At 39.0% G+C, this 27,510-nt stretch overlaps 1 protein-coding gene across 3 annotated transcripts in view; it reads right to left on the bottom strand.

Moving 5' to 3' along the window:
* The window catches only part of PARP14 (poly(ADP-ribose) polymerase family member 14), a 50,002-nt gene continuing 22,719 nt past the window's right edge, over window positions 228-27,510 (bottom strand). Inside the window, exons 7-17 of one of the 3 annotated variants that reach the window (NM_017554.3) lie at window positions 27,090-27,326; window positions 26,320-26,541; window positions 22,800-22,878; window positions 17,495-17,644; window positions 17,134-17,196; window positions 16,639-16,806; window positions 12,791-12,997; window positions 12,110-12,709; window positions 10,680-10,813; window positions 3,082-3,256; window positions 228-2,760 (exon numbers count right to left, since the gene is read on the bottom strand). In NM_017554.3, coding sequence (NP_060024.2) covers window positions 2,471-2,760; window positions 3,082-3,256; window positions 10,680-10,813; window positions 12,110-12,709; window positions 12,791-12,997; window positions 16,639-16,806; window positions 17,134-17,196; window positions 17,495-17,644; window positions 22,800-22,878; window positions 26,320-26,541; window positions 27,090-27,326 — 2,325 coding nt within the window. In that variant the 3' untranslated portion in view covers window positions 228-2,470. Of the gene's footprint in view, window positions 2,761-3,081; window positions 3,257-9,414; window positions 9,981-10,679; window positions 10,814-12,109; window positions 12,710-12,790; window positions 12,998-16,638; window positions 16,807-17,133; window positions 17,197-17,494; window positions 17,804-22,799; window positions 22,879-26,319; window positions 26,542-27,089; window positions 27,327-27,510 lie in introns of those variants that run through there. The other 2 variants (XR_007095695.1, XM_011512929.3) reach the window with 2 other exon arrangements.

Genomic DNA, 27,510 nt, shown 5'->3' with positions numbered 1-27,510 from the left:
TTGTTTCAGCCGGGGCTACTTGCTGGGGTCAATAAGCCCTTCAGATTCACTGAACTATGGCTGTATCGTGCCCCTTCCTGTAATTTTCAACCAAATATTAATACACTGAGCATCCCTTCATGCTGTCATACTTAGTTGTTTTTTAATTATTATTATCAGCAGTGGTCTGTGTTTATCATTAAGCCCCCCTGTATTTGCCCTTTAGGATAAAAATGTTTACCATTAAATGACAGTTTTCAAGTATTTTATTTGAAAAGTAGCAAAATGACAGTTGACATATTTAGATTGAGGATAACTATAACATTACTGAATGGATTATTATTCTTCAGTGCGATACACTCTGATATTCAGCCTTGCCCTGAGTTAATCAAATCACTGGAGAACAAAAGCGAATAACAGCAGGTCTCTCTTTTTTATTCCAATTTCTTACATTTATTGTCAATGATGAATTCAGATGCCAGTGGCCTGCCTAGAAAGCCACTCTTAAGCAACAAGGAGTCTGCCAATCCACTTAAAAAACAAACCACAAGAGAAAAAAATCCAAAACCTCTATGTTAATGAAGCAGCAACTGTGGCCCCCTAGCCTCCTCCACTTCAAGTACAGGTGTTCCTAGCAGATTAAGTCCCTTAATCCTCCCAGCGACCCCTAGCATCTGATGTGCTATCTGCATTGGCTCCGTGTCAGTATCAGCTCTGGCCTTGGCCTACAGAGCTTCCAATGAAGAGACTGTAATAGAAGAAGCCAGAAGGAAAAAACAAACAAGGCAACATGGGGGTATTTCAAGACTGTCGGAGGTGTTCCTGAATCGGTGGCATTAATCTAGAGGCCATGTTCTGCAGTGGGAGAGCAATGGGCTTGACATCACAGGGACCAAGATTCAGTTGCCGGCTCTGAGGGTTCCTTTCTAGGTGATCTCAGGCAAGGAAGCTTCTTGCACTCTGAGCATGTTTCCTCAAGTTTCAAATGCAGAGATAATTCTGACCTCACAGGAATTGAGACAATGTGTATGAAAGCACCTATTTTACTACCTGGCACACAATGTAGGTGCTCAATAGATGGTGTTTGAATCTTAAACTTACCTGGGGAAATTTTTAAAACTTCACCATTCAATAGATAGGAGTTAGCAAATTAGCAATATGACTGCTTACTTCCTTTGGTTTATTTATACATAAGGCTTTAAAATCATCAAACGCTAGGCTGTCAAGGAAAATATACTATTTAATAATCTTAGAGTTCATTTAATCTCAGCACAGGGGAAGGGTTTCACAATGAAGATGTGTAGCAGGCGTTATCCCATTGTTATCACTGGGCAGAACAAAGACCAATGAGTAGACACTATAAGAAGGCACATTGGCTGGTCACGGTGGCTCACACCTGTAATCCCAGCAGTTTGGGAGGCTGAGGTGGGAGTTCGAGACCAGCCTGTCGAACATGGAGAAACCTCGTCTCTACTAAAAATACAAAATTAGCTGGGTGTGTTAGCGCATGCCTGTAATCCCAGCTACTCGGGAGGCTGAGGCAGGAGAATCACTTGAACCTGGGAGGCAGTGGCTGCAGTGAGCTGAGATCGCGCCATTGCACTCCAGCCTGGGCAACAAGAGTGAAACTCCATCTCAAAAAAAAAAAAAAAAAGGCACATTTTGGTTCAGCATTAAAAAGAGCCTTCTGGCAATTGGAGCCAGGGTTGTGCTGCGCAACTCCATGGGGCAGGCAGGATTCCCCTAGACCACAGCCACATCACAGCTCCTGGACCGTGCAGAGCGCAAGTACACTGCAGTCCCAGAGCCCTGGCCAGAGCTGTCCCACATGTCACTGGCTAGTTTGTGAAGAATGAAGTTCCGTCATGGAATCTGTTCAATTTGAGGTAAAGTGATAGTGAGTCAAGAATGTTAAAGAGATAGTTCCTACTTTGGATGGGAGTCTGACTAGGCTTTTTTTCATTCTTCGTTGGTTTGTCAAACATTTATGGAGTATCCGTTGTACATCAGGCACAGACCTCATCTCAAGGGAAAAAAATTGACTAAGATACCATCCCTGCTCCCAGGGAAGACAGAAGCCCTACCCACTGGGTAATACTGTGCTCCCCACAGCACTATGGCATCCTGACATGGGGCCTGTCTCCTGCAGTGGCAGCTGTGCTTAGCTGTGCCCTCTGTCTATAAGACTGTTATTCTCTCCTTCCTGAAAATACAAACCTGTTCTTTTCCCACAGATTTGATGTCCATACTTGTGGACACACAGTTGCAACTGCATTATCTCATTTAAATTTTCCAAGTTATTTGCTCTCAAGATAATAAGTTCATTTCCATTATGAAAGGGAAGCTGAAGAAAGACTGACTTCAGCGACAAAGAATGATCCTTGGATATTAGAAAAATCTGTTAAGAGGAATTAAAAAAAAAAGCTAAAACTTGTTTTACAACTAGATATGTACAAATGGAGAATAATTTTGTGGGAAGGATACCAAAGTGTTATTTTCTAAACGTAATAAGGTACTCTGGGTATGCTTGGTAGTCATAAAATGCCACAAATAAACTTGGATGGTGCACATTATCTGTGACAGTGTCATACAGGTCAGTAGGATTTTGAGGGTTCTTTGAAGGAGGCACAATTAATGAATGATTTCCATGTGTATAGATTCCAGTAAGTACTCGCACATAATACACATGCTTTCTCCCATTTGCATCTGGTCTGGAGTACGTATCATTGGCAGAATAATTGGCATTGACAGCAAAATAGGTTCCCTTTCCATATGCCACAGCTGTGAAAAGAAAAACCATTTTTAAGCATTTCAAGTTAATGTAAAATTTGATATGTTGGCCCAATCTGTTAAATAATGTTCTTTCTAAAGCCTCTCTTAAAATTTTTTGTGTGTGCTTTTCACTTTTAATCATCAATTTTTCTACCTAGAAGGGCCAGTCAATCCCCTTTGGGATGAAATACAGTGAGTCCTACCCTGAAACTCGGGCTGCAACATGGCCACCAATGATGGGGGACCACAATGAATCCACACTGTCCCAGCCAACTCGGGCTCTCATGGCTGATGCCTCATTCCAAGCAGCCAGATTACTCGCTTCCTTACCATTCTTTCCGGCATAGCTGCGGTTAAAGCCATTTCGATTGACGTGTGGCACGGAGCCGGCATCTGTCCCATGGAAGAGTTGCTTCTCATTCATTGTCTGGCCATTCTTGGCATCCATAGTTTTTTTCTTTGCCTGGTAGCTATTCCAGAGATCTGGATTCTGGATCCTCTCAATCTGCAAATTAATAAAGGATAATATTCTGCCAGTTCCAAGAGCACTTGCCAATATACAGCAAATGAAACATGATCACTATGTTTCATAAATAAAAGCACACTAAACAGCAAATCCAATGCCAGACGGCAGCTTTCTGCATTCAGAAACCTTTTTAGATCCAGTGTTTCATAAAAACAGGCAATGGGAAGAATGTTGGTTTAATTTTTAACATCTTTTATGTACCGCATGAGATCAAACAAGGTTTAGGATTTTAAGTACTCATGACATGAATTCTGCTGACCCAGCCTCTGCAACTTCTGCTTTTTACACATACTCTAATGACTGCTCCTGTTGCTGTCCACCTCACTTTGCACTTTGCCTCTCACCACCTCAGTCCTTCTGGGATACTGGTTGACCTAGTTGTGTACTAACAGTAAGAGAAGCAACAGAATATCTAGGCAAGAATGAAATTAACTAATGAAAATTAATCTCTGGTCCAGTTGGAAGACCGGTGCATGAATCTTGAATGTTGTAGACCAAAGTGGCCATGCTTTGACCATACTCTTTAGGCAGTGGCCTCCAGGGCGGTGGTGGAAACTGCTTGGGTCCTGGGTTGCAGTTCTACTTCTAAACTCCCCTAGTCCCCAAGTAGTAGCAGTTTCATAAGGCTGTCCTGGGAAGACCGAGGGGTGGGTAAAGGTGACCAAAGTCCCTCATGGAAATGCACAAGGTAAAGGTTCCCTGTTGTCCATGTTGTCAGAATGTTTTCCGTTTTGGAGAACTCTCAGGCTTAACACCATTACCTGCCATCATCTGGTTCTTTTTTTTTTTTTTTCCAGTTTTGGGTTTTCTCTTTTTAATTAAGATACAATTCGCACTCTAATTCAAAGTCTCGGCATTAACATATATTTTGTTGATCTGGTTGATGATTTTAAAATTATTTTTCCTTTGTATTCTTTACCTACGGCTAAATTTCTAATCTTCAAAATGCCTACATTCATTTCATTTACCTTACATTTTATCTTACTCATTTTTAAAGCCTTCAACATTTTTTGAGTTTTGAAATAATTCTCAATTTCTTAGTCTCTTAATTCTTAAATTTAAAAAGGTTGTTTCTTACCTTTTAAAATTTTTAAAAATAATTATGTCAAGTAATTTTTGAATATAGTAACCTGATTCTACATTTCTCATGGGATAAATTCTAAGGTAAAAAAAATTGCAAATAAATCTTAAACTTTATTTAGTAGGTTTATTATTAGCAGCAGATGTCTAGCCAGGGTAGATTACTTTTATCAGACCAACCTCTCACCAACAACTACTAGAAGAGCTAGAGAGGGAGAAAAGTCTATTTGAAGACATCAAGGATTTGATGAGCTAAGATTGCAGAGAGAAGGGAAGTATGGTGAAACAGTAAAATCAGAAGACAATAATTTCTTCAAAGTGCTGAAAGAAAATAATTGCCATCCAAACTTCTATGCCCAGCAAAAATATCCTTCAAAGAATGAAAGAGAAAGAGACGTTTTCAGATAAATAAAAACTGAGAGAATTCATCACTACCAGATCTGCATTGGAAGAAATACTAAATCTAGATGAAAAATTATCCCACATGGAAGCATGGAAATATAGGAAGAATTGAAGGACACTGGAAATAAATGGTAAATATGTTGGTACATATAAATAAATATAAACAAATTAAAAATGTTTCATCGGGTTTCAAATATAAATAGAATTAAAATGTGTGTTAAAAGCAACACAAAAAGCAGAAGAGAGATAAATAAGGCTTAAAGTATTCAAAGGTCTTTGCATTGTCTGGGGAATGATGAATATACTAATTTACATTACAGTTCAATAAGTCAAGGATGCATGTTATAATCTCTAGGGTAAGCAATGAAAGAATTAGAATGTATAACTAACAACATAATAGGGGTGAAAATGAAATAGAAATAATGCAAAAGAAACCAGGAAAAGATAAAAAAGAACAAAGAATAGATATGATAAATAGAAAACAGAGATTAATATGGTACATTTAAACCCAAACATATCAGTAAGTACAGTAAGTAAGATTAAGTACTCTAGTTAAAAGATAAAAGATTGTCAGGCTGGATGATGAAAAGCAAAACTCAAGTATATGTTGCTATCAAGAGACACATCTTAAATATACACTTATTATAAGATTAAAAGAAAAAGAGTGGGAAAAGATATACCATAACATGCTAACAATAACCAAAAGAAAGCTAGCATAGCTATTTTAATATTGCTAATAATAATTTTGGTATGATAATTTTGAAACAGTTGTATGTATTCTATAGGATGAAACAAGTAAGAATGTACTATTATTAAAAGCCAGAATTTCATTTTGTACACAAAATGACATAAAATATTAAGATATTAAGAAAAAATTCGCCTCTGCCCGGCCGCCCTGTCTGGGAGGTGGGGAGCACCTTTGCCCGGCCGCTGCCCCGTCTGGGAGGTGGGGAGCACCTCTGCCCGGCCGCCACCCCATCTGGGAACTGAGGAGTACCTCTGCCCAGCTGCCCCATCTGGGAGGTGAGGAGTGCCTCTGCCCGGCCGCCCTGTCTAGGAAGTGAGCGCCTCTGCCCAACCGCCCCGTATGGGAAGTGAGCGCCTTTGCCCAGCCACCCCGTCTGGGAGGTGTACCCAACAGCTCCGAAGAGACAGCGACCATTGAGAACGGGCCATGATGACGATGGCAGTTTTGTCGAAAAGAAAAGGAGGAAATGTGGGGAAAAGAGAGAACAGATTGTTACTGTGTCTGTGTAGAAAGAAGTAGACATAGGAGACTCCATTTTGTTCTGTACTAAGAAAAATTCTTCTGCCTTGGGATGCTGTTAATCTACAACCTTACCCCCAACCCCGTGCTCTCTGAAACATGTGCTGTGTCAACTCAGGGTTAAATGGATTAAGGGCGGTGCAAGATGTGCTTTGTTAAACAGATGCTTGAAGGCAGCATGCTCCTTAAGAGTCATCACCACTCCCTAATCTCAAGTACCCAGGGACACAAACACTGCGGAAGGCCGCAGGGATCTCTGCCTAGGAAAACCAGAGTCCTTTATTCACGTGTTTATCTGCTGACCTTCTCTCCACTATTATCCTATGACCCTGCCACATCCCCCTCTCCAAGAAACACCCAAGAATGATCAATAAATACTAAAAAAAAAAAAAAAAATTTTTTTTTCAACATTAAATTTTAATTGAAAACATGAATATGGCTGGGTGCTGTGGCTCACACTTGTAATCCCAGCACTCTGAGAGACAGAGGTGGGTGGATCCCAGCACTTTTGAAGTCAAAAGTTTGAAACCAGCCTGGATAACACGGACTCCATCTCTACAAAAAAAAAAAAAAAAAAAAAATAGGCGTGGTGGCATGTGCCTGTAGCCCCAGCTACTCTAGAGTCTGAGTGGGGAGGATTGCTTGAGCCCAGGAGTTGGAAGCTGCAGTAAGCTATGATCACGCTGATGCACTCCAGCTGGAATGACAGAGCAAAACTTTGCCTCAAAAAAAAAAAAAAGAAAACATAAATACAAGTTCATGATTTTCTTAGCTCTAGCCACAAAAGACCCTGGAAACAGCAACACCTCAATAGCAGTGAACACACGCAACACACGACTTTTGGTTTCTCACTACCATTCCCCACTAAAAGGTAACATGGCTTCTTAGAAAAATGTCTGATTCCAGGCACGAGACAAGGAAAGTACAGGATAAGCAAGACAAATCTCATGGCAAAAAGTAAAGAAATGCTCAAAGATTAATGGGGTCATTAAAAGACATGGGACCCAACTTCCTGCCAGCCAAATGGAGGATAATGTGTACATCTAACAGAATAATCACTGTAATTAAATATAACATACTGATTTTTTTCAAAATCAGGAAAAAAGAACATTTATTCTTCAAAAAAATGCCAAATAACATATACAGAAGGAATGACAGAATTAGAAAATCAACATCCTGCAACCTCCAGTGTAATGATGGATTCAGGCAAGGATCATCAATGGAAGTGAAAGTCAATCAGTACAAAATTGTTGGGGAACAGGATACTCATATGCTGACGAAGTATCATCCCACAGATAATCTACTGATTCCAGTGGAGAGAAATGGTGGTCACCCACTTAACTAGTGATCAAACTTAGCATCATTAATAGTGGGATGGCCTTACCATCTGAGGTTCCTGATGTGATGTATCACCTATGAAGTATTCTTGCAAAAAATATTTATCTGAATTTACTCAAACCTTTCAACCTAACTCAGCTTACCAGAAATAAAGAGGATAGAGAAATAAATGATATTATCAAGAATCAGATAAGTCTAGAATCTATAAAACTGGCATGGATTCTTCCACAAAAATCAAGGCATGACAGATCCAGAATGTGATACATTCTACAATACAATTGGCTTAAACTCTAAAAAAATTCATGTCATGAAAAATAATTTTTTAAATGCAAGAGTACTACTCTATATTAGAAGACACAAAGGAGACATAATGTCCAAACCGTGTGTGAACTCAGACTGGGGTTGGGGAGGGGGAGTTATAAGAGATTTTTTTGAACAACTGGAAAAATTAGAATATGGACTGTGGCCAGATGTGGTGGCTCACACCTGTAATCCCAACACTTTGGGAGGCCCAGGCGGGGGGATCACTTGAGGTCAGGAGTTCGAGACCAGCCTGGCCAACATGGTGAAACCCCATCTTTACTAAAAATACAAAAAAAAATTAGCCGGGTGTGGTGGTGGGCACCTGCAATTTCAGCTACTTGGGACGCTGAGGCAGGAGAATCGCTTGCAACCGGTAGGCGGAGGTTGCAGTGAGCCAAGATCGCGCCACTGCACTCCAGCCTGGGTGAAAGAGCAAGACTCCGTCTCGGGGAAAAAAAAAAAAAATATGAAATGCATATTGGATATTACTGAATTAATGTTAAGTTTTTAATTGGGATAATGGCATTGCCATAATTTAGGAGAATGTCTTTAATTGGGAGATACTTGCTAAAATAGGAGTATCATGATGTCTGCAACTTACCTTCAAATGCTTCAGCAAAAACAGACAGGGAGAGAAAGCAAAAGTGGCACAATTGTTGAATCTAAGTGGAAGGCTTATGGATATTAAAAACCTTAATCATAAGACATAATAGTCATAGAGGATGACAGACCACCCATTTTTTATGTTATTTTCACAATTCTAGGGACCTCCATGGAGGCACCTTAAGTACTACCCACACCTCTGCTTTTATCTGGTTCATACACTGGGATTTCACATAAGATTTTATTGAAAAAAAAGGTTTCACTGCAAAAAAGTGTTGAAATCAATTCTCTGGCCAGGGTCTGCCAATACACAGCAGGCATCCACAGGGCCCACTGTAGATATTGCTGGTCAAGCAGAACATTCATTCCTGCTCAATCTAAACTTAGCATCTCATCACAATGTGCCAATCAGCCACTACCAGTTAGTAGTAATTGGTACTTGGAGTGAGACTTACTTGTTATCTCAGAAATAGACCATCATAGAGCTGCATACTTGAATCATATTGTCTTGGTGCCTCATAGAATTGTTTTCATTCAATCAGGCATCGGTTTTGTTCAACCAGTTTTACATTAAAAAAAAACAGTGATATAAAAGTTGATATTTAATTTATTGTGAGGATGACGTTGAGGATATTCTCTAGTACTTGATCCACAAGAGAAATCTCTCAGGAGTCAGTCTCAGTATTGTGAGGAGCTGTGAGCCTCCTTATCAAATGGTTTGCTTTTTGATTTACGGACATTATGAGTCTTGTACCTGAATGTTTACTTCTTGCTTTGTCTACTAGGAAGCTCAGGGACAAATTGGTAACCTCATGTTATATATTTTTGAGAACTAGCAGTTCGTCTGTATTATCTTATTTTCCCTGCCATTCTTTTCTCTTTAACCATTTTTCTTTGTATATTTATTTTATCTGAAGGTATAGTTTATATCTTTGTAGGGCACTTTGAATCTTTTTAAATTATGATGTACTTAACAACATGAATAAACAGTGTTGGCAGTTCAAATAGAGAGTAAGAAAAATTTGCAAAGAAAATGTAGGTCTTACTGGCAGACTTATGGTGGATCAAAGATCTCCGGCTTTACTCAGAAAGTGGTAGAACCAAAAACAGAAATGAGGAAGGAAAGGGAAAGAGAATTACTTACGTATGATGCATTAGATTTTAGAGAAGTTGATTTTGCAGTTAGATATTCAAGTGGAGATTTTTTTTTTGAGACGGAGTCTCACTCTGTCGACCAGGCTGGAGTGCAGTGGCGTGATCTTGGCTCACTGCAATCTCTGCCACCCATGTTCAAGCAATTATCCTGCCTCAGCCTCCCAAGTAGGTGGGATTATAGGCACCTGCCAACATGCCCGGCTAATTTTTGTAGTTTTAGTAGAGACGTGGTTTCACCATCTTCACCAGGATGGTCTTGAACCCCTGACCTCGTGATCCACCCACCTCGGCCTCCCAAAGTGCTGGGATTACAGGCGTGAGCCACTGTGCCCAGCCTCAAGTGGAGATTTTTTTAGGCCACTGGGAGTATGTTCTAGAGCTTGAGTCAAAGACCCAGGTTGGTAATGTTGATTTGGGAGCTATTGACATTGAACTAATAGTTGAATCCAAGAAGGGTAAATATATTCCCTGGTGAGGTACAGAGACAAAAGACCGTTTAAGCATAAATGGCGTGAATAAAGCTAGAATTAGGGGTTTGGAAGAGAAACAGCGTGCCTGCAAAAATGAAAAGAAAATTAGTCAAGGAAAAAAAAATCATAATAATTTTGCTAGAGAAGTCAAGGAAAATATAATTTCAAACAGCAATATCAAAAATGTTTAAAAATGGAAGAAGATGCCAAAATAATTGGTTGTTTTTATTTGAGAGCAGGATCTCACTATGTTACCCAGACTGGCGTCAAACTCCTGGGCTCATGCAATCCTTCCACCTCAGCCTCCCAATAGCTGGGACTACAGGCACGAATCATCACATTCACCTGCCCAAAATAATTATGATAAACGAGAAAAGGCCTGCTGGCTTTATCAAGGAAGCACTGTTGATCTGTGAATAATGGGGCAGAGTAACATGGTCCTGATCTAAGGAGCCTCTGCATGGCTCTCTGTGGAATTTGCTAGCTATCAAATCCAATTTTAAAGCCATATCTTTGAATTTGTATTAGCTTGCTTCACAAAGTAAATATATGTCTTTAGTGTTCTATCATATTACAATCAAATATTGTAATCACTGACACAAGAATCTTAATGCCTCAGTAATTATGGTCACATGAGTAGAATCTAGAACTACTAATTACCATACAAATTCTAATTCTGGGTTTAAAAAAATGTGATAGGAAGTGAATGAAAATGGATTTTATATAGGACCATGACAGAACTTATTTCCACCATCCAGAAACTGCATTCTAGCAGAAGGCTTACCTTCTCTATTCTGAAGTGTGAGCAGGTCTGATTAAACTTGCTTGCCACCGTGTTGTACTCAGGATCACTAGGCAGCAGCTCCACCACACAGAAATTCTGCTGCTTCATATCACTCCAGTGTGCAGGGATGTCAACTGCAAAGGAGACATTTGAGGATGCCCTCATACATCCCCGGTACACTCTGGAACATTTAGTATCTGTGTTCTTGTTTTACTATCTCCCAATTCTAAGCATTCAAAGAGTTCCTTATCTTTCTAGGAGAACGCTTTTCAAAGCATGAACAACAGACAACCTACATCAGAACCAACTGGAATGCTTGTTAAACAAAAAAAAGGAAAGCCACAGATCAACTGAATCAGCATCTGTGAGGGGCAGAGCCTGTATGTCTGCCTCCTAAGTTTGGATCATACTACGATTTGAGAACTGTTGGTGCAGTATAACTCATCTGTGTTTTCTGTTCAATCTCTAGTAGTCACAATTTCACAATAAATTATTTCCCTACAGTGTTCTAAGTAGTTGCTGTTTTGTTTGTGCATGGATTTTTGCCAGAACTCCTCACCATCACCACCACAGGCACTCTACATCTATTTTTTCATTATTCTTCATAGCATCTTTAAGAGGCAGTTAGGTGGCAGATTTTGCTATGTGACAAGCTGTGGTGACAGCTCTGTCTTCTCCTCTGCTAAGCAGAATACTATATGTGATTTATCATTTCCCCAGGGTTGCTCAGAGTCTCGGGAATCTGTTCACACTGATCTCACAGGAGATAAATATAGTGTAATGGAAGCCAATTTACTCATTTTCAAAGGGGACTTAATCTGGTTCGAAGGTAGGAAGGGCTGCCTACACAAGACAGGGCTTCCCTTCTTGGAGAGTAGGTCTGGTCAGAGAATCTGAAGCCTGCTTCCTGCCATGTGTGTCAAGGAACCTTTTGCTCTTGGCAGAGGTGACTACTGGGAGAAGTTCCTACAGGCTCCCGATCCTCCCTGGATTATCAGTCAGACACAGAGAGGGCACACCCTCTGACCAGGCTTTCCTTTCTGTTTTTCCCTTGGCCTTTTTTGTTCTAGAAAACCTTGGGCCATCACTTTTCCTTTAAGCCTATGGTTTTCCTTCCCCTAATTGATGCTGCTATTACCTTCTCAGCACAACTGGCTCTGGGAAGCTTATAAACTGTAGAGATGAGAACAAAGGTGAGATTTGACTATTGTTACCAAGAAGATAGTCATCTTCAGGCTTTTGGGTACATCCATTCTGGGTTTTCCTGGCCATAACGTAAGCTCTTTAAGCGCAGAGGCCACATTTTCTAGTTTATTTCATTAGTGTCACATGAATTTTTTCCAATTTGAAATTCTGATGTACGTACCAAATAGTGTTATGCCCAAAGTAGATGTGAAATAGTGGATGACAAGTATGAATGTTTAACTCACCTTTGGATTTCGTGAGGCGCTGAACAGATAAACTGTGGCCCTTTGTGTCTGTGGCAGTGTATGTGTTCAAGTTCACTGTGTAGTGCCGATGATTAATTTTGACATCAACTGTTTTTTTCTTTTCTCTCCTTGCATCCTCTAATTTCAGATTGGTCATTTTGTTAAAACAATGAGAAGTGTTATTGTCATTATACTGCCATTCTATAAACTCACTGATACAATCTGCCCGGGATTCCTGTTCTTTGGCCAATCGAACTCTCTTGATCATCGCCTCAATTTCATCTCTAGCCTGCATCACATCTCTGCTAATTCCCAAAACCTTAATCAAAGGTCTCTTATGGTCCAGGGAAATGTTAATATTTAACTTCTTCTGCAGCTCATTCAACTCCTGATACTCCTTTTCATCAAAGTCTTTGATGCACTCATCTTCACTGGTGTAAGGACACTGTTCTTTTTCAATCAGGTCTTGTAGCCAGGAGATAGCATATTCCACACACGTGACATTTTCACCACACACCCGAAAAGTTGCTGATTCTGTTTTCTTTTCCAAAACCAAATGATTCTTTTTTTGGGGAGATTGCTTTGAAAAGCCCAAAAATGCTAAAAAGAAAAGGAAGATTAGGTATTTCACATGTGACATCAACGTTATGAACATGCATTTCATAAAAACAAAGAACTCACATGCAAGTTTAGACATCACAGACTGTTGGGAAGAAAGCTGAGTCCCTTCTCTTTTCTTCATGTTGGCATAAAACACATCCAGTACTTGAGGCAGAAAGATAACAACTTTAACTTTTTTCACAGACTGGGCTGATCCTTTCTGGACAAAGTCTTCAATGGCATCAATTATGGCTTCAGCAACCTTATCTGGGTGTTGTTTGGCATTTCCTGGAAAAGCAAATAATAAAATTGCTGAAGGACAAAAAAGCCCCAAGTGGAAGGCTGAGGAATAAATTAGGGTTTCCAATGCTCAGAGAATAAATGCCCACTCCTCAATTCTTTCATCATTGTGGAATTTTCTAACAAAGCATCAGCAAACACTTTTGAAGTCCTAGATGCAATGAAGTGTTTTTGTTCCAGGATGTCAGGAAGCCCACAGCCTAGCAGTGAACAAAGGACCCAGAAATCTGACTTTTGGTGTCTGACAATCATATCTACTCTATTCAACTGATCCCAGCTCATTGTGTTCCTCCTCTCCTATTACAGAGCACAAGTAGCTTTTCTACTTAGCTCGCTAGTGTCCTTGAAATTTCATAAAAAGCAGATGCTAATATATGTTGACATAAAATACTTTTTAAAGATGAAAATCTTTTTTAGGATCAGTCATCACTTGATTTTATGTATGTATCCTTATTCTCCCAGATATCTCTGGGAACCTAATTTGAACTAAGCAAAATTTAGTAAGACACCCAGTGCTACAGGCTATTTGTTATAATCTATAATTTTTCAGACACAAGTTATCTATAAGCCTCCAAGAAGCCTTTCCCTCCACACTCAGTGAGATTTTAGCTGACCAGCAGGATTCAAGGTAGCCACCTGAAGCAGAGCGTTTCCTGTTTTCAGCATACTCCATATCCTCCTTCTCAAGCCATGAAAGCAACAGCCTAGGTAAGATCATGAAAAGTCCCTTTCCAGCTGGGGGAACAGTCCCATGTGAATAACAGCTGGCAAAGTCACATGATGGGCAATGTAAAAGTTCCTTGGCCAAGCTGATGTGACAGACTAAGAGCCCACCTGGCTAATTGTTGTTGATGGTACCCACCACTATTGCAGAAGAAGAGTAGGCTTCTTTGACTTGGCTATGCTGACAATTGTGGGAATGTAGACAACCCCACATAAAATTAACCAAGGGGGGTTGTTCAAATCTTTTTAAATCAGATGATCAGAGAACGAGGGAAATTCTCTTTTGCAAAGCTGTAATTTTCCCATGGTATTTTGAAGAGTTTATATGGACACATTCAGTTACATTCATTCACTTTCAAGAAACATCTGCTATGTCCTATCACTGGCTAGGTACTCACTAGGCACTTGCTAGAACACAGATGATGTGATATGCGGGGATGAACAGGTGATCAACAGGTGAAATATGGAAAATTGAGGGAAAGGCTATGCCAGATGGAACTATGTAATGGGTATATGTTCAGCCTGGCACGTATGCAGAACAGACCTAGTTTTGAGGAAGTTAAGTCTGGAGGGGTATGGAGGAAGCATGGAGCGGGGAGCCCAGGTCTAGTTAGGACGCTGTAATAAAAGCTTAGTCAAAAGACAAGAGCTGAACAAAAAGAGGAGGCCAGAATGAAGAATAGGGATTGAGGAGCTATTTTGGAAGTAAAGTCAGGAGTACCTAGGGACCAGCTGGGTTTGTCCTTCACCTTTCCCTCTCTGTCTTTTGCCATACACATACCTTCACTATATCATGGTTCACGTTGCATTGCAGTTGTTTGTTTGCATGCCTGTCTCTCACACTGGGCTCAGTGCTCCTTGTGAACTGGATCCTTTTCTTAGTTATCTTTCTATCTCCAGAGCCTAAACATGGTGCCTTGCAGATGCAGGCACTCAGTAAATATTCAATCAAATAATTCCTAAGCTAATGAAGATCGGAGTGACGAAGAGGGTAGAGTCAAGGACTCTAGATGGAAAGTGATGTTTTTCACGTGATTGGGGATATAAGAGGAAGGGCAGGTTTGGGGAGATGACAAGGAATGAGAGTTTGGAGTCTGCGTTGAGCTTGAGGTGATCACAGGTATTGCTAACCACCTAATCTCTCCTCTTATGCAGGTGTCTTTAAGGAACAGAGAGGAGGCTCCTTTAACTGCCAGAGGCTGTCTTGATCACAGTCTTAATTCAACTCATATACACCACTAAAAGAGAAAGCTTCTACATCTATCAGTCTCAGAACCAGCTCAGGTGGTGATAAAGATAGGTAAAGAGGACATGCAAGGATAACCCACTAACCCTGATTTATTTGTGCTGACCAGCAATGCAACCAGGTCAGTGGAAGAAACAACAGGATTTGTTGTTGAGTCCAGAATTGAGTCCAGAAATGCTCAAATGTGTACATATTTATACAAAACGAAACCTACCTTCTTTCTTTGTTTCTTCTTTTGACTCTACCAGGGACTCCTTTGGGAAGGTCTGTGGCACCCCTAAGCTGCTTGCTTTCTTGGCCCAAATCAACTGAAGGTGGAAACCCAAGACTAGAGCTCAGAGAAAAAAACAGATGGAGACAGAGACTGAGGAGTCATTGGTGGGTGTCCATAAAAGATAAGTCAGTAGAGAGATGATAGAGATAGATAGACAGATCGATAGATAGATAGATAGATAGATAGATAGATAGATAGATAGATAGATAGATAGATAGATGACTGGTAGAGAGAGATAGGAGAAATGTTGGCTAATCTGCTAGGAATAGATGATACTCTAAGGGGAATGAAAACAAAGGGATCAAAAATTATACTTTTAGAAATAGAAAAGTTGTAAAATAGACATAGAATTCCATCTCGGAACATTATAAGAAATGGTACAGAATTACAGATATGGGTCAGAGGGTTAGAAGAAGGCCCAGAAATTGACAAGGATGGTTAAGTTTATTGAGGATAACCTTTTGGAAAGCCTAGAATGCCAGCATAAGAGATTCAAACTTAGATTCCCGAGCAACAGAATGACAGATCCGATGCTGACTATTCTCGCACTGGAACAAGGCAGCTCCGTTGACTTCAAGCCTAAGAATGCATGCCTCCCCTGACCAGCTCTCTGAAGGAGACCAAGCAGGGATTCCTAAAGAGCTCAAAGAACACCTGTGCAACAAAACTGCACATTCTGCCCATGTACCCCAGTATAATTAAAAAAAAAAAACCACCTAATTAATGATAAATCCAGAGCGCCATCCTTATATATGAAAAATCACGCTATCATTACCTAGTTTTAGGAAAAGAAGAAAATCAAAGAAGCAAGTAGGCTGAAAAGAGGAAAGTGGAGAGTTGAGTTTCTGACCCACTAGGTTCTGGTGACTGAGAAGCTTCTACACAGAAATGCCCTGAGGCCAAGTGACACAGCTGACTGTTGAGCTGAAGCCTGGTAATATTCCTCTGGGAATCAGCTAGAGTGAGGTGGAAGTTGTTGTACTAATATTCTCCATGGAGAGGGGAAAGAGGAGGAAGCTAAGGACTGCATAATGGAGAATATGTAGGGAATGGAAAAAGGGAAAGTAACTGAGGAAAGAGAATGAGGGATGGCCTTTCCACTCTCTCCCTTCTCTTCTCCTCCTTATTTTCCCTTCCCTTCTTTCTGCCTCTCTAACATTCTAACACTCTCTTCAGTCTCCTGCATTTTGTCCCTCTTTTACTCAAACAATCCACAGGCTTTGTCATTCCCTTGGGAGTTGTCTTATGGGGAGGAAGCTGTCCACTCCTAGCTTAATGGTTGCTGCCCTGGGTCAGACTCAGCACTGACCGCATTCACACTCAGCTCCAAATGAAAGGGAAAGTAGATGGCTTGGGATTTAGCCTTGACAGCCAGAGGCTACGAACCTGTCCCAATGGCTGGGAGGCAAATGGATGAGTAATTTTTTTTTTCACACTCCTGCAAAACAGAGGAAACTGAACTCTTGACATCATTTCCACCAATTACATGAATGATATTCTTGCACCTCAAAAATCCACCTCCGGTGATTATATAATCATTTTTGCGCTGCTGAGCTGGGAAACACAGACAAAAAGATGCAAAATTAGTAGAAGTTGAACCCGTCATTTGTTTAGAAAGCAAAATGTATAACTTGGCAAGTAAGCATTTTGTGAAAAAAAAAAAACTCCTGAAATACTATCTTTGATGGAATGCTATGACTTAACTTTACTTTTAACTGTGAGATTACTTTTCACTTCTAAGTGTCTGTGATTGGAATTCTTTAGTAAAATGTATCATTTTAAAATTAGAGTGTTGTCTCCCCAACCCTAAGACTTTTCTCAGCCTCTCCACAGCCTCCCATACAATTACAACTTAGGACCAAAAAATAGAATATGCCTTACCTTGCTGAGAACATTCCCTTTCTACATTTTGTCCAGCACATTCTAAAATTGCTTTGGAGACCCCTACATGAGAAAATCAAGATGATAACAAACATGAGTAAAAAACCACTATGGTATATTTGGATCAGAAGGATTATCTGAATGCATTCTCCATCATCTGAGGAATCCTCTAATTGGGTATTGCTGATGACAAAGAAGAAAACTTCATAAAATAAACATTATTAATTATGGAAAACCCTGTCAGCATAATTTAAAAGTTATTAATTAACAAGCCAAAGTTCTAAAAACCAGTTTGGCTATAGAAACCCTCCTTCATAGCATCTACCATTAACTATTGCACTCATCAAAATTGTACAAGTACCTGCTTTGAGATTGAATGAGTTTGATGTTGAATTTACAATCACATCTGCCTCTTCTTTCGTGATATCTCCAGAAGCCACCTGGAAGATGATGGAGCCAATCTTCATTTCATACACACCTGAATCAGGGCTAGAAACAGTCCCATAAAAACCTGAAAAGAAAAGAAGTAAAGTCAATAACCGAGTCAGCCACAGCAAGAATGACTTGGGTATCCTGCTCACATGGGACCCTCTTGGATGTCTTCCCTCTCCCTCTCTTTCTGTGACCTCTGGTCTTTAACCTGGCCCTGCTCCTCAGCCTCAGTGATGATCTGTTTAAGAAAAAAGAATTAGAACATAGAATCCATATCAAACATGAACTCTGGTGCTGACCAAGGTGAAGTTAGCGTACTATAGCCTATCTCTCCCGTTGATTACAACTAAAAACAGGACAAATACAAAAAGCCACCACCCAAGAGCTCTGAAAAGTTACAATAACAGCAGACAGATTGAAGAAAGGTGCCAAAACTTGCAGAAGCAATCTGCTAAGTGGGGCAGTTTTCCATTTTGTTCTGTTTTAAAATTTTTCCTCTTTTCTCTCCCAGCTTTGACCCAAGGGTGGCCCTAGTCTCACAACATAATATTTAAAATGTCAAGTCTGTATTCCAAAATTGCTTGTTATATAAAGAACCAGGAAAATTTGATCAACCCTTAAGGATAAAGAAAATCAAAAGCTGTCAATCCAGCCAGACACAATGGCTCATGTCTGCAATCCCAGCACTTTGGGAGGCCGAGGTGGGTGGATCACTTGAGTCCAGGAGTTCGAGATCAGCCTGAACAACATGGTGAAACCCCATCTCTACAAATAATACAAATATTAGCTGGGATGGTGGTGCACAACTGTAGTCCCAGCTACTTGGGAGGCTGAGGTAGGAGGATCACCTGAGCCCCCAGAGGTTGAGGCTGCAGTGAGTTGAGATTGTGCCACTGCACTCCAGCTTGAGTGACAGAGTGAGACTCTGTCTCAAAAAAAAAAAGATGTCAATCCTGGCCAGGCATGGTGGCTCATGCCTGTAATTCCAGCACTTTGGGAGGCCGAGGCAGGTGGATCACTTGAGGTCAGGAGTTCAAGACAAGCCTGTCCAACATGGTAAAACCTTCTCTCTGCTAAAAGAAAAATACAAAACTTAGCTGGGCGTGGTGGCACAGGCCTGTAATCCCAGCTATTTGGGAGGCTGAGCAAGGAAATCACTTGAACCCGGGAGGCGGAGGTTGCAGTGAGCCAAGATTGCACCACTGCACTCCAGACTGGGCAACAGAGCAAGACTCCATAGAAAAAAGAAAAAAAAAAAAAAAGATGTGAATCCCAAAAAGATGTGAATTATAGAAGACTTTAAAGCATCTACTATAACTATGATCCATGAGGTCAAAGTAAACACATTTGAATGGATGGAAATGATGTGGAATGAATGGAAAAATAGGATGTCTCTGCAGAGAAATAGAAACTATTTTAAAAAGACCTCAAACAAACAAACAAAAAAAGATAAAAATGAAACAAAAAGCTGGTTCTTTGAAAAGATAAAGAAAATTCATAGACCATTAGTGAGATTAACCAAGAAAAGAAGAGAGAAGATCCAAATAAGCTCAATTAGAAATGAAACTGGAGACATTACAATCAATGCCTCAGAAATACAAAAGATCATTCAAGGCTGCTATGAACACCTTTACATGCACAAACTAGAAACTCTAGAGGAAATGGATAAATTCCTGGAAACATACAACCCTCCTAGGTTAAATCAGAAAGAAACAGAAACCTTGAACAGACCAATAACAAGCAGCAAGACTGAACTAGTAATTAAAAAAAATTGCCAACAACAAAAAAGTCCCAGACCAGGTGGATTCACAGCTGAATTCTACCAGACATTCAAAGAATTGGTACCAATCCTACTGAAACTATTCCAAAAGATAGAGAAAGAAGAAATCCTCCCTAAATCAGTCTAAAAGCTAGTATTAAACTAATAATAAATCCAAGAAAGGATACAACAAAAAAAAACTACAGACCAATATCCCTGATGAACACAGATGCAAAAATCTTTGACAAAATATGAGCTAACAAAATCCAACAGCACTTCAAAAAGATAATACATTATGAACAAGCGTACTTTATCCCAGGGATGCAGGGATGGTTTAACATATAAAAGTCAATAAATATGATACATCACATAAACTGAATTAAAAACAAAAATCATATAATCATCTCAATAGATGCAGAAAAAGCATCTGATAAAATCCAGCACCACTTTATTATAAAAACCCTCAACAAAATAGGCATAGAGGGGACATATCTTGAAGTAGTAAAAGCCATATGTGACAAATCCACAGCCAACATCATATTGAATGGGGGAAAGTTGACAGCATACCCCTGGGAACTGGAACAAGACAAGGATGCCCACTTTTACCACTTCTATTCAACATAGTACTGGAAGTCCTTGCCAGAGCAATCAGGCAAGACAAAGAAATAAAGGCCATCCAAACTGGAAAAGAGGAAGTCAAACTGTTGCTGTTTGCAGATAATATGATTGTATACTAGAAAATCCTAACGACTCATCCAAAAAGCTCCTAGTTCTGATAAACAATTTCAGTAAAGTCTCAGGTTAAAAAATCAATGTACACAAATTAGTAGCCCTGCTATACACCAACAACCACCAAGCTGAGAATCAAATCAAAGCTCAATCCCTTATACAATAGCTGCAAAAATAAATAAATAAATAAATAAATAAATAAATAAATAAATAAATAAATAAAATACCTAGGAATATACTTAACCAAGGAGGTGAAAGATCTCTACAAGGAAAACTACAAAACACTGGTCAAAGAAATGACACAAACAAATGGAAACACATTCCATGCTCATGGATGGGAATTATCAATATTGTGAAAATGACCATTCTGCCCAAAGCAATCTACAGATTCAATGCAATTCTCATCCAAATACCAGCATCATTCTTCACAGAACTAGAAAAAAAATCCTAAAATTCACATGGAACCAAAAAAGAGCCCATATAGCCAAGCAAGACTAAGCAAAAAGAACAAATCTGGAGACATCACATTACCCAACTTCAAATTATACTACAAGGCTATAGTTACCAAAACAGCAAGGTACTGGTATAAAAATAGGCACATAGACCAATGAAACAGAATAGAGGGTCAAGAAATAAAGTCAAATACTTAAAACCAATTGATCTTCAGCAAAGCATACAAAAACATAAATTGGGGAAAGGATACCTATTCAATAAACGGTGCTGGGAAAACTGGCAAGCCACATGTAGAAGATTAAACTGGATCCCCATCTCTCACCTCATATAAAAATCAACTCAAAATGGAGCAAAGACTTACATTTAAGACCTGAAACCATAAAAATTCTAAAAGATAACATTGGAAAAACTCTTCTGGACATTGACTTAGGCAAAGAATTCATGACTAAGACCCCAAAAGCAAATGCAACAAAAACAAAAATTAAAAATGGGACCTAATTAAACTAAAAAGCTTCTGCACAGCAAAGTAATCAGGAGAGTAAGCAGACAATCCACAGAATGGGAGAAAATATTTGAAGACTATGCATCCGACAAAGGACCAGTATCTAGAATCTACAAGGAACTCAAGCAAATCGCAAGAAAAAACAAACAAACAAACAAAAAAAAAAACAAATAATCCCATCAAAAAGTCAGCAAAGGATCTGAGCAGACATTTCTCAAAAGAAGGTATACAAACAGCCAACAAACATAAGAAAAAATGCTCAACATCATTAATCATCAGGAAAATTCAAATTAAAACCACAATGAGATGCCTCCTTACTCCTGCAAGAATGGCCATAACTTAAGTCAAGAAACAATAGATGTTGGCATGGATGTGGTAAAAAGGGATCACTTTTACATTGCTAGTCGGAATGCAAATTATTACAACCACTACGGAAAACAGTGTGGAGATTCCTGAAAGAACTAAAAGTAAAACTACCATTCAATCCAGCAATCCCACTACTGGGTATCTACCCAAAGCAAAATAAGTCATTATATGAAAAAACATACACACACATGTTTATAGCAGCACAATTTAAGATATGGAACCAACCTAAGTGTCCATCAACCAACAAGTGGATAAAGAAAATGTGCTGTATATACACTATGGAATACTCTTCAGCCATAAAAAGGAATGAAATAATGTCTTTTGAAGCAACTTGGATGGAGCTGGAGGCTATTATTCTAAGTGAAGTAGCTTAGGAATGCAAAACCAAACATCCTATGTTCTCACTTATAAGTGAAAGCTAAGCTATGAGGATGCAAAATCATAAGAGTGATATAATGGAATTTGGGGACTCCAGGGGGAAGGTTGAGAGGGGGATGAGGGATAAAAGACTACATAACGGGTACAGTATATGCTGCTCAGGTGACGGATGCACTAAAATCTCAGAAATCACTACTAAAGAATTTATCCATGTAACCAAAAACCACCTGTACCCCCAAAACTATTGAAATAATCATAATAATAATATATTGCAAATGAAAATAAAGTTCAAACTTTAAAGAATTTAAAAATTTAAAAAAGAACCAAATAGACATTTTAGAACATACACATACGTATCTAAAATAAAACATTCACTGGATGGGCTCAATAGCATAGAGGACAGAGAAAAGACTCAGTGAACTTGAAGGCAGGTCAAGATAAATTATCCAATCTGAAGAACAAGAGAGAAAAAAGATGAGTGGGATTGAGGGGGGTAGGCATGGGGAGAACAGCTCTGCAGAGACCTTGGAACACTGTCAAAAGGCTTAGCACCACAGTATTGGAAAACAGAAGGAGATATGAAATAGATCAGTGCACAAAAAAGCATTTAAAGAGATAACTTAAAATTTTCCAAATTTGATGAAAGACATACATTTTTATATTCAAGAAGCCTCGGTGAAACTCAAACAGGATAAACTCAAATATGGCATCAACAAATTTGACAAAGGTGAAAGATTTGGTGAGTATTGTCTCTCAAATTTGTCTATTTTGGAAAATACATGTCACATTCTCCTCAGGAAATGGTAGTCTTGTCATTACTTAAAACCCATTATACAGATTACATAACTTGGCCTGCCTTCCCTTTTGCTTCAGATTATATAAACATGACCAGTGTCTTACATGCTCAGGTATATGAAACATAACTTAGTATCATTTGTCACTCATTGATTTTTTTTTCATAAAAATTATCACTACTGTCTTTTACCTGCCAATGAACAGTTACTTAGCAACTAGAAATCACTTCTCAATTTAGAAGCTTTACTGAACCTTGTGTATCTTTAGCCTTCGGAATTTTGTCACTGACGAGATTTCCATTAGCCCTTCTGGCAAATTCATCTGAAAATGCCTGAAATATAAACACAGCGTTGATCATTACACTCCTCAGTAAATGAATAAATTGGAATCATCAGGGTGTTTTGTCCTGCATGCACACATACATATTTGGGAGATAACCATTCTCAAACAGTATTATTTAATTTCATTGCAGATCTTGAAAGTTATAAAAACAACACATGATTCTGTTTCTATAAATGTGTCTAATGAAAATATCAACGATGTGGACAACGATGTGGATAAATACAAGGATATTCACTACAGTGCTATTCATAACAGAGAAAAAACAGTTAAAAATTCAACAGGGAAAAAGTTAAATAAATGTTGCTGTATCCATGTGTTGGAGTATTTATTAGCCATTAAAAATCGTATTTTCAAAGAATTTTTTAAATGAGGTCTTGCTGTGTTGCCCAGGCTGGGGTGTCGCCCAGGCTGGAATGCTAGAGGCGTGATCACAGTTCACTGCAGCCTCGACCTCCTGGGCTTAAGCAATTCTCCCACCTCAGCCTCCCAAGTAGCTGGGACTATAAGTATATGGCACCACACCCAGCTACGTTTTTTGTTTTTTGTGTTTTTTTGTTTGTTTGTTTTTTGTAGAAACAGGATCTCCCTATGTTGCTCAAGCTGGTCTTGAACTTCTGGCCTCAAGTGATCCTCCTGCCTTGGCCTCCCAAAGTGCAGGGATTAAAGGTGTGAGCCACTGTGCCCAGCCTCAAAGAAGATTTAGTGAAATAGAAAATAAAAGCGAAGGATATTAAATAAAATAATTTATAATCACAATCCTTTATTTATTTATTTATTTATTTATTTATTTATTTATTTGAGATGGAGTCTCATTCTGTCACCCAGGCTGGAGTGTAGTGGCACAATCTTGGTTCATTGCAAACTCCGCCTCCCAGGTTCAAGTGATTCTCCTGCTTCAGCCTACTTGGGAGGTAATTTTTGTATTTTTAGTAGAGACGGGGTTTCACCATGTTAGCCAGGCTGTTCTCCTGACCTCAGGTGATCTGCCTGCCTTGGCTGCCCAAGGTGCTGGGATTACAGGCATGAGCCACCGCTCCGAGCCAATCCCACTTTTAAAAGTACATATGTAAAAAAAAGCAGGCTGGAATAAAATCCAACTAAAGAATTTATGCATTTTGCATTGTTCAAAGTTTCTACAATGAACATGAATTACCATAATGGTCAGTCAAAGCAAATAACTTGCCAATTGTAAAAACTACAATGTTAAGAGAATGACCATCACAAGGTCCCAAACACTTCCGTTTTTAATTTCCTATTTGTACCAAAAGAGGAGGGGCTGAGGAGTCATGATTTTTGGAGCAAGTAGCTGGTGTATGTATTCTAGTGTTAATAAACCTGTGAATTTCATTTTTTTTTTTTTTGCCTGTTGGTGACCCTCCATAATCATCATTTTCTTCCTCCTTGTAAACAAGCAACAGATAATTTTGTTGGAAAAAAAACAAGTAACATCTTGGCTAAAGATAGATGCAATAATGGGAGAAGGAACCAGAGAGAGGGTAGAGCAAAGATCTCAGACTCACAGGCTTCTAGGAGCCAGGTAGGTAAGGCACATGTGTAAAGGTGGTCTGATTTGACTATGGAGAACTAGAGAACACCTGCCACTCAGCCATGGAAAACTTCCTGTCCCAAGCAGGAAGCCATGTTTAATGTGCCAGAAGTTTTGAAGTTTTAGGTTGTAGTGAATATCTAGAGTTTTATGTAAAATTTTTGATTTTTAAATGTTAGCAACTGATTGAAATTTTTTTTTAATAATCTAAATAAAGCACATCTAGAGGCCATGTTCAAATCACAGGACTGCTGCTTTGCATCCTCTGTGACAGTCTCCATCTATAAACATCTCGATAAGCTTTGCTGATTTTTTTGTGCAAATGTAACCAAAGTTTAACTGTCTTTAAAAGTCTAAAGAGAAAAAGTGTAACAGACACATACAGAGAATTTCAAATGGTACTAAAGGCATCTGTATAGACTAATTCTTTTTACAGAGTATTTGAAAAATACTCAGTCTTCAGGAAAGAAAATGAATGCTGAGGTTGCATGAAAAAGAGTGATATTTGAAGGTTCAGGTCTGTGTCACAGGACTCATGCTGTATTCAATCACCCATGCATTCAAAAACAGCACTTCATGCCTCTCATTTAGTTCATTTTGTGTATATAAATCTTAGCTCCAAAGTAATTGTGATTTATAGGAGGGAAAGTATGTGCTATTCCTATTCGTCCTGTTCCACGATCCACATCACCTTGCACAATGCAAGTCATAGGGAAATTATTTTAAAAGCTTCTGTTGCACAGAAGAGTAACTAATTATACGGGACAAGTAAATGGACCACATATTTTACTCAGGTGGTTTGGCTGCCTGATCAGAATTCAGGTCAGATTTACTTGCTTCCAAAGAACTTATAGGTAGTATCTAGCATCACAGAAAAATGAAGCATTACCTAAAAATTCAGATGGTCCAATGATCCACAGGTATCTCTTGGGTTGCTGATCTTAATCTGTTTGATCAATTTTTGCAGTACCTTGGGAGCTTTTCAAACACTGAATGTCATCTACTTTATTTGATTAAGTAAAGACTCGGAGTGCAGGGATAATGGCTTAAAAGCCTGTTGTGCTGCCATAATGCTGAGTCCAGTGGCTCTCCCACAGCTGATGTGAGCTGAATCATGAACTCATGATTGATGATAGTTCTGGTGTTTCTGGTCCCAACTCTCCTATTTACATGGGAATGTGCTAATCCATTCTAACCACACCTTCTGACATCTTCCTATTGATAAGGCCAGACTGTGCTTTTATACTATGTATTAAAATTTCTATGTCCATATGGAGGGAAATCCTATAGTCAACTCCATTGCAATATGTGGGCCTTATTTGGATTCTGATTCAAACACAAAGCTGTAAAAACAAAACGTTTATGAGATAGTCAGAAATTTGAGAATTGATTTGATAATTGGTTAAAGGAATTATTGTCCATTTATTTTAGGTGTGATACAATATTGTGGTTATGTTACTTTTTTAAAAAGAATTGTTATTGTTTAAAATAAATGTTGAATTGTTTATGGATAAAATGATATGTCTGAGATTTGCTTCAAAAGAATATAGAAGGAAGGGAAATAGATGAAGATAGAGATGAAACATATTGGCCATAGGTTGATAACTGTTGAAGTTCAGTGATAGGTACAAGGGACTGCATTATACTATTATGTCTACTTTTGGATATGTTCAAAATTTTCCTGAATAGGAAGTTAAATTTTTTCTACATCTGTAACTTTTCTTAAAATTTGTCATGCTACAACTACAACTACAAGTATAAACTACCTTCTTACTTTCCTGAATGGGGAAATGAATGAAAAAAGTATCCTGTTAGACCAAAAAGACATTTGAAAAAACACTAGGTCTCAGTTGCCAAAATAATCAGAAATTAGTGGCACTGTACCTGAATATTTTCATGATCACTCGGGTGCAGCAGAAAGTGAACCTCTTGTAAAGTTTTCAGCTGATTCTTGCTACTAAATTTGAACACCTCTGAAATGATTAATTCAGCGAATATGTTTTTAGGAAATCCCAAGTTTCCTGTTCCTATTGCTGGAAATGCAATTGATTTTAAGGACAAGCTCTCAGTGATCTCCATACATTCTCTGATTATGTCTTCCATTATCTGAAACGCACAAAGCACATCCTTATACATCTTGTCTAGAAATGGGAGTTAGAACAAAAAGGACAAGAATTTAGCAACTTTGTGAACTTGAATACTCCTTTTTGCTGTCAACACTGATTAAGGGCAATCAGAAGAGGAAAGAAAAATACAGGAGAAGGCAAGGAAAAGGAAAAGAGAATGCGAGAGACTTAAACACATTCACAATGAAGGAAAGAAGCAAAGCAACTACTGTTCTTTTCCTTCATTCTCTTCCATTCTTCACACCCTCCTCTGGCTTTCTTCACTAAGCAAGCAATAATATTATCTTCAGTAACCCTTCCCTGAGCTCCAATAATTATTGAGCACAATAATCCATTTATAGTATTAACTAGTCCTCAGGAGAAGTCAGCTACAGCTGAAAGAAATGGCCACATGATGGAATCTGCCAAAAGAGTGATTATTATGGAAGAGAAACAGACAAGGCCCAATCTATGTCCAATTAATATGCTACTAAAAGGAGAACCCAAAGGGCTACCCAACTTCATGGAGAATTCAAAACCAGGCCCAACCTTGAGTGAAGATGTGCTACCATTTCTCCACTCCGGAGCTACCACGTGAAGCACATAGCGACAGTCCAGATTCCAGCTGCTGGTTTTGAGCACTGTGCCCATGCTGACAGCCACCCCTTGTCCAACTGTGTCCAATTCCTCCTGGAGCTCTGGTCCAGCTTTTTCCAAGAGGGACTTAGAAAGAGGCCCTCTACTAAGCACGAGATCCAAGGGAACGGAGTTGACAACAACATCGGTCTTAAAGACAAAACCAAAAATTTGTTTCAAATTTTAACAAAAAGCATTCATCAATGATTACTATATTTGAGGCACTGGGCTTGGCACAATTGGAGACAACTAAGATGACTACGGTTTCAGTGATTGAAATATCAACATAAGACAAAGTGTGACTAAATACTTATTGAAGTGACACTTAGGAAAA

This window comes from Homo sapiens, chromosome 3 (assembly GCF_000001405.40).
Source record: "Homo sapiens chromosome 3, GRCh38.p14 Primary Assembly".
Taxonomy (NCBI): domain Eukaryota; kingdom Metazoa; phylum Chordata; class Mammalia; order Primates; family Hominidae; genus Homo; species Homo sapiens.
This window is presented reverse-complemented; position numbering and strand designations above follow the sequence as displayed.